We start from the raw sequence: 14,525 nt of genomic DNA, 5'->3' as shown, positions 1-14,525 counted from the left end.
CAAACATTTTCTATCAACATATTCTCTCTTTTTTGTATAATTAGGTAGCCTAATCCCAAAAAGCAAAGCTGTTTGCTTTTAATTAAGGAGTGAATTGTGCTTCAAAGTTTCATAGGAAATTTTCAAAATCTCTACCTAATCTTTTCTTAATGAAATGGATCTCATGGCTGCTCTGTTTGTATTAGTCACAGTACATGCTGTACATGAATTTAAGGAATATATTGAGCAAATAAAGTTAAAATATAGCAGGAAGTATTCATTATCCAGGGGATGAATATGCAGACATTGTCAAGGGCAAAAGTTTATCATTATATTAAATCACTATATAGAATTATCTTAATTTTGTCATAAGTCAATTTCTTACCATTGCTTTCTTACCTTTCAACCAAGGAGCCTAGCATCCCTCTCAAAGCATAATATTTTTAGAAAAGTCCATCTAGTCTCAGCTAATCACATAATATTCTAGAGATGTTGAGACCAGTGAGATCAAATGAATAAAATAAAGATATACTATTTCTTCACGTTAAGTAATGTATTAGTCAGCTTGGGCTGCAACAGAATACCACAGATTTTGTGGCTTAAAGAATGGAAATTTATTTTCTCACAGTTCGAGAGGCTAGAAGTCCAAGGTCAAGGTGCCAGCAAGGTTGCTTTCTGGAGAGGCCTCTCTTCCTATCGTGCAAATGGCTGCTGACTTGCTGCGTTCTCACACGACCTTCCCTCTACGTTTGCAGAGAGAGAGGGATGTTTGTTGTCTCTTCCTTATCTTAAGAGGACACCAATCCCATTGGGTTAGAATCTCACTTTATTTAACCTTAATTAACTCCCTACAATCTCTATCTTCAAATACAGTCACAATAGGGAGGGAGTAAGACTTCAACATTTACATTTTGGGAAGTAACAATTTGGTCTATAATAACTAATTTTTGTCTCAGTCAATTAAGCAGAAGAAAACGGCCCATTGCTATGTTTAGGGACTCTCACACGCAAGGATGACCCTGATCAGAAAAGACATAATTTAACACTCTAAAAGTGGCATGTATTCAAAAATTTTTAGAAGTCTTTATTACTTTAAAAGAAGGCAAATTCCATGGTCCTCTGCTAATTGCTAATTCAAGTTCCACTTTTCAATCTGCTCTGCCACTCACCCCCGTTCATCAACACAACTGCCACTCCAGGCCTGGGAAACTCTTCATTTGAAGCCTATTTCTCTTTCAGTATGTTCAAAACATAGCTCCATTTCAACTTTCAAAAGCAAGTAATGTCATGTGGCAAAAATTTTATTCATATTATTAATCATATTATAAATCAAAATATCTGAAATTTAGTCCTAGCTCTGACATTCAGTGACACTATATAATCTCAAGAACACCATTTAAACTTATTTTCCTTCCAGCTTTCAACTTTTATTATTACTTCCAGAAGAATATCTAGGATTAAAAGACGATAAGCACTTACATATATGTATTGGAGAAATAGTGACAAATTAAACTAGTAACTCATCAGCAAATGGTTATGGCCTTCAAATATAGTGAACCATTAAGAACCATTTAGAAGCATAAATGGACAGATGAAAGGGACATGATAATCAATTTATGAGAACCGTGATTTAGGCCTGAATAATATGCAAAACAAGCCTTTAAAAGTTACTGGCGCTTTTCCTTGCTACCTGCAGAGGGGTCCATACGGCGTTGTTCTGGATTCCCGTCGTAACTTAAAGGGAAACTTTCACAATGTCCGGAGCCCTTGATGTCCTGCAAATGAAGGAGGATGTCCTTAAGTTCCTTGCAGCAGGAACCCACTTAGGTGGCACCAATCTTGACTTCCAGATGGAACAGTACATCTATAAAAGGAAAAGTGATGGCATCTATATCATAAATCTGAAGAGGACCTGGGAGAAGCTTCTGCTGGCAGGTCGTGCTATTGTTGCCATTGAAAACCCTGCTGATGTCAGTGTTATATCCTCCAGGAATACTGGCCAGAGGGCTGTGCTGAAATTTGCTGCTGCCACTGGAGCCACTCCAATTGCTGGCCGCTTCACTCCTGGAACCTTCACTAACCGGATCCAGGCAGCCTTCCGGGAGCCACGGCTTGTTGTGGTTACTGACCCCAGGGCTGACCACCAGCCTCTCACAGAGGCATCTTATGTTAACCTACCTACCATTGCGCTGTGTAACACAGATTCTCCTCTGTGCTATGTGGACATTGCCATCCCATGCAACAACAAGGGAACTCACTCAGTGGGTTTGATGTGGTGGATGCTGGCTCGGGAAGTTCTGCGCATGTGTGGCACCATTTCCCGTGAACACCCATGGGAGGTCATGCCTGATCTGTACTTCGACAGAGATCCTGAAGAGATTGAAAAAGAAGAGCAGGCTGCTGCTGAGAAGGCAGTGACCAAGGAGGAATTTCAGGGTGAATGGACTGCTCCAGCTCCTGAGTTCACTGCTACTCAGCCTGAGGTTGCAGACTGGTCTGAAGGTGTACAGGTGCCCTCTGTGCCTATTCAGCAATTCCCTACTGAAGACTGGAGCGCTCAGCCTGCCACGGAAGACTGGTCTGCAGCTCCCACTGCTCAGGCCACTGAATGGGTAGGAGCAACCACTGACTGGTCTTAAGCTGTTCTTGCATAGGCTCTTAAGCAGCATGGAAAAATGGTTGATGGAAAATAAACATCAGTTTCTAAAAAAAAAAAAAGTTACTGGCAATTTTTTTTCTGTATTTCAAAAAAAAAAAAAAAAAGAACACGGGATACATGTGCAGAAATACATGTGCAGAAAGTGCAGGTTTGTTCCATAGGTATACATGTGCCATGGTGGTTTGCTGCAACTATTGACCCGTCCTCTAAGTTCCCCCACCTCACCCTCCACCTCCCAACAGGCCTTGATGTATATTGTTCCCCTCCCTTTGTCCATGTGTTCTCAATGTTCAACTCCCACTTATAAATGAGAATATGTGGTGTTTGGTTTTCTGTTCTGGTGTTAGTTTGCTGAGGATGATGTCTTTCAGCTTCATCCATGTCGCTGCAAAGGGAATGATCTCATTCCTTTTTATGGCTGCATAGTATTACATGGTGTATATGTACCACATTTTCTTTATCCAGTCTATCATTGATGGACATTTGGGTTAGTTCCAAGTCTTTGCTATTGTAAATAGTGCTGCAATAAGCATATGTGTGCATGTGTCTTTATAGTAGAATGATTTATAATCCTTTGGGTACATACCCAATAATGGGATTGCTGGGTCAAATGGTATTTCCGCTTCTAGATCCTTGAGGAATCACCATACTGTCTTCCACAATGCTTTTAACTTCTGCTGCTTAACTCCACCAAAACTATTAACATTTATTGTTTTGAATAGCCTAAATAATTTTAAAGAATTTAGGTCATTCATGAGATGTTTCTTTCTAAAAATAGTTTTCTAAATGCACTGCATTTTCTACTCTCTTTTATATGATCTCATACTATTTTGTATATACCCCTATTGCAGCAGCTTTCAATTGTATTATATTTTAGTTATTTTTAAGTTGTCTTCCTCATATATTGTAAACTTCTTAAAAACTAAGATCAATTATTCATTTAAATGTTTCTCCAACAGTTAGTATAATGCCTAGGACATGATGTGACTCAAAGTGCTTAAACATGTAAAGATTCCTTCAAAATTACAAATAATAATTTTATTTCCCTAAATGTCTAAAGTGTCCCATCATTTTTACGGAACTACATACAGAAATACGGAGTGGGTAATAAAGTATTCAAATGACCCCTACTTTTTAAATAATATTTTGTTCTTTAGAACTCCATATAATTCAGTTTAGTCATTCTTTAAATTAGAGGACATCATTAGACATTTGAAAAGGATTTGGATTTATAAACTAGAATATGAATAGAAAACATGACACTATTAGACAGATAGTACTTACTTGTTGATGGTCTGGAATTTGAAGAAGTTGGAAAATGGATTATCAATGATTTGTGGAAGTGTTAGTTCCAGAATTCGTCTGCTGTATCAGTATTTTTCATTTTTCTAACTGTCAAAAGAATACCAGAAAGCAAGAGGAAAGAATAGCTATAGATGGGGCATCCTAAAAGTAATGAAAGCAAATATTCTGTCACTCCCCACCCCCCAAAAATCCCATAATTCCATTTACTTTCAATAATATAATATCCAGGGTGACACTAGAATGTACCACTGACAGTCTTCATATGTTATAATAATCTGATTATGTTTCTCATAAAGTAGTCAGATCAGTGGAGTGGTCCTAGATTATAACTGAAAATAATTCTTTTAAGAATGTGTACATATTAAAAAAAATATGTATATGCTTTTAAAAAGGACTTCTCCCAGATAAATTCTTTGGTGGTAAGTGGTCTTCAGTCACATTCTACGCCTGAGAAAATGGGCTCCATGAGGGTCCCAGTGATATCTAAACCCATGGTTCACGAGCGTGGCTTCCAGTCTAACAGCATCAGCATCACATGAGGACTTGTTATAAAGGCCAGTTTTTGTGCTCTCACACCAGAGGTACTGAGTAAGAAACTCTAGGGTAAGGCCTGATAATCTGTGTTCTTCAAGATGATTCCATTTTGTCTAAACACACAGAGTTAGTTAATGCCAAAGTCTTGATTTCAATGCTTTGAGTCCAATCTGCTTCACATCCATTTATTTTGGCCTGCATGGAATAAATGTTTCATTGATCACATTAATAATAGCTTTAGAAACAAGTGATAAACCATCAAACTCTTTCTTTAGAAAGAAATGATAAACCATCAAACTCTTTTCCATCAATATCTACTTTCTTAACTAAAATCTGTCTTGGGTGTCCTTATGTTCACTGCAATGCATACAAAGAGATCTGATTTATGATGGAAAGTTCTCATCTCTCTTTTTTTCACTAAATTCTTCATATAAATCATTCTCATGTCTTGATTTTCATGTTGTCCTCTAAATTCTTTCCAGCTCCCTCATTCCATTTTCTGTTGCTTCCATTTTATCTCTTTCTCTCTGGCCTCTTCATATTAATAGTGATCATTGCTTACACCTGTGCTAGCCCAGCTTATCTTATTGAATGAATTTTAATGCCAATTTGTTTACACAGAATTTGAAACTGCAAAGGAGATTTATAGTTCAGGGAGCATCATCTGGAAAAGGCCCTAATTTATTTTCACAGTTAGGTAAAATTTAGATCTCTTGTGTCTCTAAAACCGCCTGGAAGCAACAGCAATTATATTTCACAGGCCAGTCTGCATGAATGATTTAAAGCACACTCTAGACATCAGGTGCTCTTTTTCCTACTTTTCCCCTCAAGAAAGATTTGAATATATTATTCTTTAAAAAAAGGAAAAGGAAATTAAATTAGACCCTCACAAATATAAACAAAATCATTATGTCCTTCTATATCAATAAGCTGTGTCCATGGCTAGGAAAATTTGACCAAGCTATTCTTTCCATTTCTTTAGATAAGATAGACACTTTGTTGCTCTATAATATAAAGTAAACAGCACGTTCCTTTTGGGAGTTTTACTCAACCCCAGAAACTATCACTGTGGCCATTTGTTGTTATTTCAAAGATGGCCAGGAGAACAGAAACATAACTGAAGAGTTGCTGAGTCCTCACTACTCTAACCAGCCCAACTGAATCAGCCAACTGCCCTTGCATGCTATTTCACCCTGTAATTCCACCTGCTTCAGTCTTGGATTTTATGCCATGTACAGTAATGTAAGTCAGAAGAAGGGCTTAGGATTCAAGAAAACCTGCCAAGTTCAAGTGCTGACTCTGTCAGTCACTAGCCAGAGAACACTGCATAAGTCACTTAAATGCTTTGAAATTTTGTTTTCTCAGCTATATACTTGAAACCTAATACTATCATTCCCCACACAAAAAAGTTTGAAGATCAAGTGAGAATTCATGGATCTCAGGTAGAGGTAATTTTGACCCTCATAAAGTTTAACAATGTCTGGAGACATTTTTGGTTACCATAACTGGGGGTGGGGGGAGTGAGGAATGTGGATCCAGTTAGTAGAGACAAGGAATACTGCTACACATTCTACATGCAGAGAACAGTCTTCTAAAACACAGAACCATCTAGCCTAAAATAGCCAATAGTGCTGAGCCTGAGAAACCCTGGATGAGAAGGTGTATGTGAAATTGCTTCATAAAGTGAAAGGACAGTTATTTGAAAAAATATTCACTGTGTGTCAAGCGCTGTCTTTGGAGCCAGGTGTTGTATTCATTTTAAACCTAAATACTCAGGGATGAGACACAAAATCTCTACAAGCTTCAAGTCCTTTTGTGGAAAAGAACTCCCAATCTATTTATTTGACCCTCTAATGCTTTGCCCAGTATCTTCACTGTAGCACCAAGGGCTGTGGATGCTTTGCTTGCTTACTTAACTAATTCAATCGAAATAAATGGCAAAGTTCCCTTAAAAACTACCAGTTTTTATTCTCTGTCATAATTATCCCTATGTCAGATATTGACATAAGTCATCTAAGAGCTAATCATCTGGTTTTCCTTCATCAACAGCACTTATGATAGTGATATGAACAAAGTACATATAGTCAGTAAATATTCCAGACTCAGTTGTGCGATATCATTAGTTTTTCTGGATCAGCAAAAAATAAGAGGATTCAATAAAGTATCAAAATTTAACCATGATGATAATAATAATAACTTATGTTGATGAAGTACTTAAAATATGCTAGGCACTTTTACTTACAATAGTTTACTTAATCCTCACAAAAAACAATTGAGGTAGCTACCCCAACTTCACATAGAAGGAAATTGAGGCACAAAGAGTGTAGGTAAATTTCCCAAAGTCATACGCTAATTAGTAACAGAATTGGGATTTGAACCTCAAGATAGTCTAGCTCCAGAGCCCATGTGCTTTATCTATCACACTATCATTGAAGCCTAGAAGCAGCAAAACCCATTTTATCTAGCAAAGCCACAGCTATGGAAGGCATACAGCATTGGTAAAATTAATAATCAGGTCAGTTCAGGACAATATTGAAATGAAATAGTGCAAACCTGACTGAGAGTTGCCAACCTGAAAAGGTGCTGACATATTTGGGCCAAGTCATAATGCCCCCAGTGAAATTGTAGCACTTCAAAACACTGTGGCCTTTTGGTTTTGGTCAAACTGTTTAAATCGCCAAGTACCTGACCTTGTTGCCAAACATATGCTCACTGCAGGTGACATTTCAGTAGCTTTCTGAAGGAGAAATTGCTGCTTTCACTTTGCTCCTATAAATTGTGCAAAATGGCCTATTACCTCTGGTCCCTGCAACAGGAAACTTCAAAGGCAGACTGAAAGGAGAAGAAGAACCACTCATCTGAATGGCAAGCTGCCAATGAACAGACCATTTAAATCGACACACACCCGTGCAGGATTAGGGAAGGACAGGGTTTTGTAGCCTCAAGAGCAGTCAGCAGTTGCTTTATCTGAATTCTGGTTTTTCTTCTTTCTCCTGCCAAATGTGATTAGATGTGATGCAAATCCTTGACTATGAAGCAGGTTCTTTTTATAGAAAAACAACCATACTTCTCTCCTTTGGCTGCTAATTCACAGAAGCTCAGCTTAATGTCCAGAACTTTAGAAATAACAAAGCCAAAGAGAACAGTCTCCTGGTAAAGAAGTCCTGGACTTCACTAAATCAGATTTTTTGCCTGTTAAAATGATTTAAAGTCAGTTGTTTCATTCTGGCCATAAAATTCATTTAAAAATCAAGTCTGTCTTTTAAAAAAGAAAATCTGCTGAGAGTACAGAAAAGAACACAGATTTATTCATGCACAAGAGTCCCATTTTAACAGTGTTTATGATATGGCTCGTTGACCAATCCTTCAAAACAGAACTATGAACAAAAAGTGCTTGCTACACATCACATAATTAGCCCATAAAACGGATGTTCATTTCTTCACATAATGTGAGCATTTTTGAAAAATATCACTTTATTTAATTTAACTCTAACATTTTCAATGAGTGTGCATTTTATAATATTTGAGTTAAATCGTACCCAAAATGTTAGCAAATTTGAAACCATATATTGTAATGACTGTTACAAATATTTTAAGCTTTCAAAGATTCCTCATACATGTAGAGATACAGCTTAATTTACCAAAGTCATTCAGAGATTAAACTAAAATTTCTCCAGCCCTCAAGTCATAATCACAGGTAAGAAATTAATAAATTGTGCGCTATATTGACATTAAACTTTTGAACTTTTTATATAAACTAGCTTGTACTGTTCTTCTCATAACTAGCATATGGGACAGTATGCAAGAATCATTTGTTCCAGTTAAAAACTGAAGGGTCACTCATGCAAGGAACCAAAGTAACTGCCTAATAATCTATAATACTAACTGGTGGAAGTGAAACTCAAACTGCTGTCTTTTGAGCCTCAGTTTAGTCACTGTCCTATTGGACCAGCCATTCCTTGTTGTCTTTTGATAAGGTTTTCACTTGTCTGTTAAGAAATAAGAACGTTAAATGCAATGACTTTATAAAATTAAATTATTTCTTTTTCAAAGGATTGCCTTTTATTCTTTCTTTTTCATGAAGATGTTCTTTTTTAAAATTAAATGATGATGTCAGACAAGAGAAAGTTATAAAGAGCATCCAAATTGGAAACAAAAAAGTCAAATTATCCTTATTTGCAGATGATATGATCTTATATTTGGTAAAACCTAAAGACTCTACAGGAAAACTATTAGAACTGATAAAGAAATTTAGTAAATTTTCAGGATACAAAATCAACATACAAAAATCAGTAGCATTTCTATATGCCAACAGTGAACAATGTGAAAAAGAAATTAAAAAGCAATCCCATTTATAGTAGCCACACATAAAATTAGATAATACCTAGAAATTAACCAAAGAAACGAAAGACTTCTGTAATGAAAACTATAAAACCCTGATGAAAGACATTGAAGAGAACACCAAAAAATGGGAAAGTATTTCATGTTCATGGATTAAAAGAATCAATATTGTTAAAATGTCCATATTACCCAAAGCAATCTACAGATTCAATGAACTACTTACCAAAATACCAATGACATTCTTCACAGAAATAAAAAAAAAATCCTAAAATTTATATGTAATCACAAAAGACCCTTATCCAAAGCTATCCTAAGCAAAAAGAACAAAACTGGAGGTATCACATTCCCTAACTTCAAATTATGCTACAGAGCTATAAAAACCAAAACAGCATGGTACTGGCATAAAAACAGACACATGGACCAATAAAACAGAATAGAGATCCCATAAACAAATCCACAAACCTACAGTGAACTCATTTTTGACAAAGGTTCCAAGAACATACACTGAAGAAATGACAGTATATTCAATAAATGGTGTTGGGAAAACTGGATATCCATATGCAGAAGAATAATACTAGAGCCCTATCTCTCACCATATACAAAAATCAAATCAAAATGGATTAAAGACTTAAATCTAAGACCTCAAGATATGAAACAACTCCAAGAAAACATTGAGGAAAATCTCCAGGACATTTGTCTGGGCAAAGATTTCTTGAGTAATGCTCCACAAGCACAGGCGACCAAACCAAAAATAGACAAATGAGATTATACCAACTTAAAAAGCTTCTGTGAAGCAAAGAATACAATCAACAAAATGAAGAGACAATCCACGGAATAAGAGAAAATATTTGCAAACTACCCATCTGACAAGGGATTGTTAACCAGAATATATAAGGAGCTCAAACAAGTTTACAGGAAAAATCTTATTAGACTCTGATCAAATAATGGGCAAATGGTTTAAATAGACATTTCTCAAAAGAAGACATATAAATGGCAAACAGGCATATGAAAAAGTGCTCAATATCATTAATCACCAGAGAAATGCAAATCAAAACTGCAATGAAATATCATCTCACCCCAGTTAAAATGGCTTATATCCAAAAGACAGCAATAACAAATGCTGGAGAGAATGTGGAGAAAAGGGAACCCTTGTGTGCTGTTGGTGGGAACATAAATTAGTACAACCACTATGGGGAACTCTTTGGAGGTTCCTCAAAAACCTGAAAATAGAGCTACTATATGATTCAGTAATCCCACTGCTGGGTATACACTCTAAAGAAAGGAAATCCGTATATCAAAGAAATATCTGCACTCCTATATTTTTTGTACACTATTTACAAGAGCTAAGATTTGGAAGCAACCTAAGTGTCCATCAACAGATGAATGGATAAAGAAAATGTGTTACATATACACAATGGAATATTATTCATCCATTAAAAAAATGAGATCCAGTTATTTGCAACAATATGGAACTGGAGATCATTATGCTGAGTGAAATAAGCCAGGAATAGAAAGACAAACATCACATGTTCTCACTTATTTGTGGGATCTAAAATTCAAAACAATTGAACTCATGGACACAGAGAGTAGAAAGACCATAACCAGAGGCCAGGAAGGGTAGTAGGGGCCTGGGAGACAGCTGGAGATGGTTAATGGGTACAAAAAAAAATGGTTAGAAATAATGGATAAGACCTACTATTTGATAACACAACAGGGTGACTATAGTCAACAATAACTTGATTTAAAAAGAACTTAAAGTGTGTAATTGGATTGTTTGTAACTCAAAGGATAAATGCTTGAGTGAAGGGATACCCCAATCCCCATGATGCACTTATTTCACATTGCATGTTTGTATTGAAACATCTTATGTACCTCATAAATATATACAGCTAGTTTGTACCCACGAAAATTTTAACAATTTTTAAAAATAAAAATAAACAAATGCTTATGATAAACGATGGCCGTTATTTGCATTTCTAAATGGTCTTTCTTGGTATATTAGTCTCAGTTGCACATGTTTAAAACCTAACCCAAACTGGCTTAAACTAAAAGAGAATTTATTGACTCATGTAATGAAAAAAATTCATTGTCATAGTTGCAAATATGTCTACATCTATGATTCAATTGACGTTTTCAGGACTTGGTCTCTCTCCATTTATTGGCTCTACTTTGCTTTTTAAAGGGCTTTATCCTCAAATTTGACATAATGATCTCATAGGAGTCAGGTTTACATCATCCTTATTTCTAATCCTAGTAGTGGAAAGAAAACTTTTCCTAATAGTTCAACAAAACTCTTACTGGATATGGGTAGATAATATAACCAACCCTGAACAAACCATTGTAGCCAGAGGGTTTAATGGTCTAAATGTCCATACCTAAGCCCAGAGATAGAATCAGATCCTTACGAACAACATGGAGTAAAAAGGAGGAAGAGCTGGATCCTCTAAAAAAATCAGAGTGCTGTTACCAGATAAAAAGTGAATAATTTTGAGTTAAGCAAAAACATCAGCTGTGCCCAAGTCTTGCTAATACAGTATATTGACCATGCAGTATAATTGTGCCGACTTTTTAAAAAAAGTTATAAATTCTTCAGATCCGAAAGGCTAGAAACCACTGCGGTAGACTACAGGGTCTAACAATGAGTAAACTTTCAGGGCACCTATTCATTAGTCACACAAGATTCTTTGGACATCTAAGCAGCTAAAAAGACAATATACCAAATGGCTGCTTTTTTCCTCAACTATTCAGACATCTGAAGGCCAACTTTTTTTCACTATTAGTCAAACATGTCAAGTAAACTCCCCTTCCCAATGTTTTGAAATACAAGGGTAGCCCTGCTACCAAATAGATTGTTGCTTGTGAGCTATATTTTAATTTACTTCTACCAAAATTGGGAGAATAGAAGAGAAAGAAATATTCAACCAGAATTCCAGCACTGCCTTCTAAGTCAGACTATGATTACATAGGACAAAAATGCTCTAATTCGAGAGGTGGTACTGTTTGAAACTTGCTATTCTCTGTGTTTGGTAACTAAAAAAGGGTTAGGGTTAACCCTTTTTTAGTTAGGGTAACTAAAAATAGAGCAAGAACATAATTTTTTAAAAACAATTATATTTGTAACCAAAATTTCATCCAAAGAATTATTGGTATATTAACACTAAAAAAAAGAAGGCAGAGTGGTCCTTCAAAATAATCCCATCGTTTTTTCTATGTTTTCTGTAAACTGCTTCCAGCTCTTGCATATCCCTAAAGACAGCTGGTTTTAGATCACTAGCCAAAGTTTCAAGGTGATTTCAAAGAGTCTAGCAGGATTCATTTTCTTAAACATACACTTTCTGTTGACCCTCATATCTTCAACATTATCAATGTAAGAAATTTTAAAAATAAAAATCCTTCATATAGAAACATTAATATAAATAAAGCCTATAGATCTCTTCCAATGGATAACACAGGTAACTAAATATTCTAAAAATCTAGACTTCTCAAGCTTCTGTTGCTTCTAAAGCTACGATTGAGGTAATTCCATTCAATGCAAAGCATTTACCTGATTACTTTTTAGACCCTGCTTACTTGTTTTCTTTTTAGCCACTAGAAATTTGGCTTCTATTACTACCACTTTACTAAATATGCATTCTTGGTAATCTCCTTCTTGACAAATTAAAGGGCCTTTTCTCAGTCCTCATTCTCTTTGACCCTTTTCAACATCTTGACCTTCAAGATATTGACCTTTTTCTTTTTTTACTGTATTTTTATTCTGATTGTTCTCTTTTCCTTTATGCAAATAACCAACCCTGGGCTTTTTTTTCCCCCTACATTTATAATAGCTTCTCTAGAGAAACTTATTTCTCCTTTTTCTAAATGTAGATAAGCTAAAGAAACTGATATTTTTCTACTGTATATTTTTCTATTCAACAGTACCTTGGAAAGCACTCAAGTAATAAATGGAATCTAATATTTGAATGAGAGGATAAAAATATGCAATAAACATAGTTATGTGATTAACTAGTTAACTAGTTGGGGGTTCAACAAAGGCTTTATTAACGCCCCCTCCTTCCAGTTAGGTTTATAGAATCTAGAACTAGCTGAACGCCATTTCCCCAGTTAGGGAGTAAGCTTCCCAAAAGTAAAAAGGGAATTCTGTTTTCTGTATTCCCAGCACCTAAGCAGTGTCTAGTCCAGAGAAGATAACAAAAAGCTTTTAAAAAATAGCAAGTAGCACCAAATGTCTAAGGCATATGATACATGCAGGAGAATATTGAAAGTACTAAAAAGTATGTGGGAGAGTATTGATCTAGATGCTAAGGATTCTGGAATTATTCTCTATATAATGGAGAGCTCTGGAGGGGTTTTATACAGAACATAATATAATATAAATTATTTAATACATGTGAAAAGACTTAGAATTGTTTATGTCATGTAGTAAGCCCTCTATAATTTCTTGTTATTATTATCATCATCTTCATCAGAGCAATGTTTATTAATCCTCTTAAAAGAATTTCTACCTAATGTTCATATTCTAATGTACAAAACTGTGAGTTTGCTTTTGGTATTTTCAAAGCACTTTCTTTGCAAAAACAAATTGCAGGAAAGTTGCTCCCAGTTTTAGTCTCCTACTCTGAAAGAAGTCTGGTTCCAAAGTCAACCACCTGCTTTAATCTCCAGAACTCACTCCAAGTTAAAATCACTCAACTCCAGTCTATCACCAAACACGAAAAATTTCAGTTTAAAAGGATCTCCAGCATCTGTCTGGCACCATGGTCGACAAAGCCAGAGTGAGCCAGGGCTCCTGCTTATATGAAAAGGAGGAGTCTGAGTATATTTGCCTGGTGATCTTTGCAAAAAATGAAGAGATGACCACAGAGGAGACCCAGTTCAGGGAAGTGGAGAAATGAGCAGGCAGCTCTACACAGACCACAAAAAGTTAATCAGGCTTTGGAACAATTTTATTCTAGTTTGTATTCTTTGGGGATAACTTCCTTAGTAGCAGCTAAATGGGGATCCCTAAGGCTTGCCAAATATCCCATTTGAATTAGCATATATTTGCATATATTGACATACAGAAAGATGCACCACCAGGCTACCAAAAAAGTGTCCTTCCACACTCCCAGGTAGGTCATTTTTCCTCTGCAATTCTCTGGGCAACCAAGGCAACAATCCTGCCAGAACAATGACCTGGGAGACCAGGATTCTTTTTCCGTGACTGCGTACCTGTGATGCTCCAGGCAATTCACTTATTTATTTTTGGCCTCAGTTTTCTCACTTAAAATGAATGGGGGAATGCCACAGAACCTCTAAAATTCCGTATGTTTCTAAAACTCTGATTCTTATTTTCCATACTTTTCCCAGAGGTAGGTTGTTGAATTAAGTAAAAGATTAGCAAATTACAGCCTAGAGGCCAAATCCTCCCACCACCTGTTTTTATGCATAATGTTTCACCGAAACAGGCACACCCGTTTGTTACATTTTATCTGTTGCTGCCTCCCTTCCATGGCAGAGCCAAGTGACTGTAACAGAGACCAATCATAGCCTAGAATATTTTCTACATGGCTCTGTAAGAGAAAAACTTTACTATTTCCTGATCTAAGTAAAAGTCAACAGAAATTTTCATTTTCTCATTTATTTCTTATGCTAATTTACATATGAGTAAATTGAGAAGCCATGAGTAAGGTCTTGGCTGAGGCAGTGTGCACAATTATTTCTTCTGCTC

General features: G+C 36.0%; 1 long non-coding RNA gene and 1 pseudogene across 4 annotated transcripts in view; one reads left to right on the top strand and one right to left on the bottom strand.

Annotated features, from left to right (window-relative positions):
* Nucleotides 1-1,384: 1,384 nt before the first annotated feature.
* The window catches only part of LINC01709 (long intergenic non-protein coding RNA 1709), a 147,996-nt gene continuing 134,855 nt past the window's right edge, over nt 1,385-14,525 (bottom strand). For 2 of the 4 annotated variants that reach the window (NR_183476.1, NR_183475.1), the window contains 3 exons: nt 3,923-4,030; nt 3,225-3,361; nt 1,385-1,754 (listed from right to left, as the gene is read on the bottom strand). This is a non-coding gene — a long non-coding RNA (long intergenic non-protein coding RNA 1709). Of the gene's footprint in view, nt 1,844-2,237; nt 2,350-3,224; nt 3,362-3,922; nt 4,031-14,525 lie in introns of all 4 variants that reach the window. The other 2 variants (NR_183473.1, NR_183474.1) reach the window with 2 other exon arrangements.
* RPSAP19 (ribosomal protein SA pseudogene 19) lies at nt 1,656-2,688 on the top strand (annotated as a pseudogene).

This window comes from Homo sapiens, chromosome 1 (assembly GCF_000001405.40).
Source record: "Homo sapiens chromosome 1, GRCh38.p14 Primary Assembly".
Taxonomy (NCBI): Eukaryota; Metazoa; Chordata; class Mammalia; order Primates; family Hominidae; genus Homo; species Homo sapiens.
Note: the sequence above shows the minus strand (reverse complement) of the source record. Positions and strands in the feature narration are given on the sequence as shown.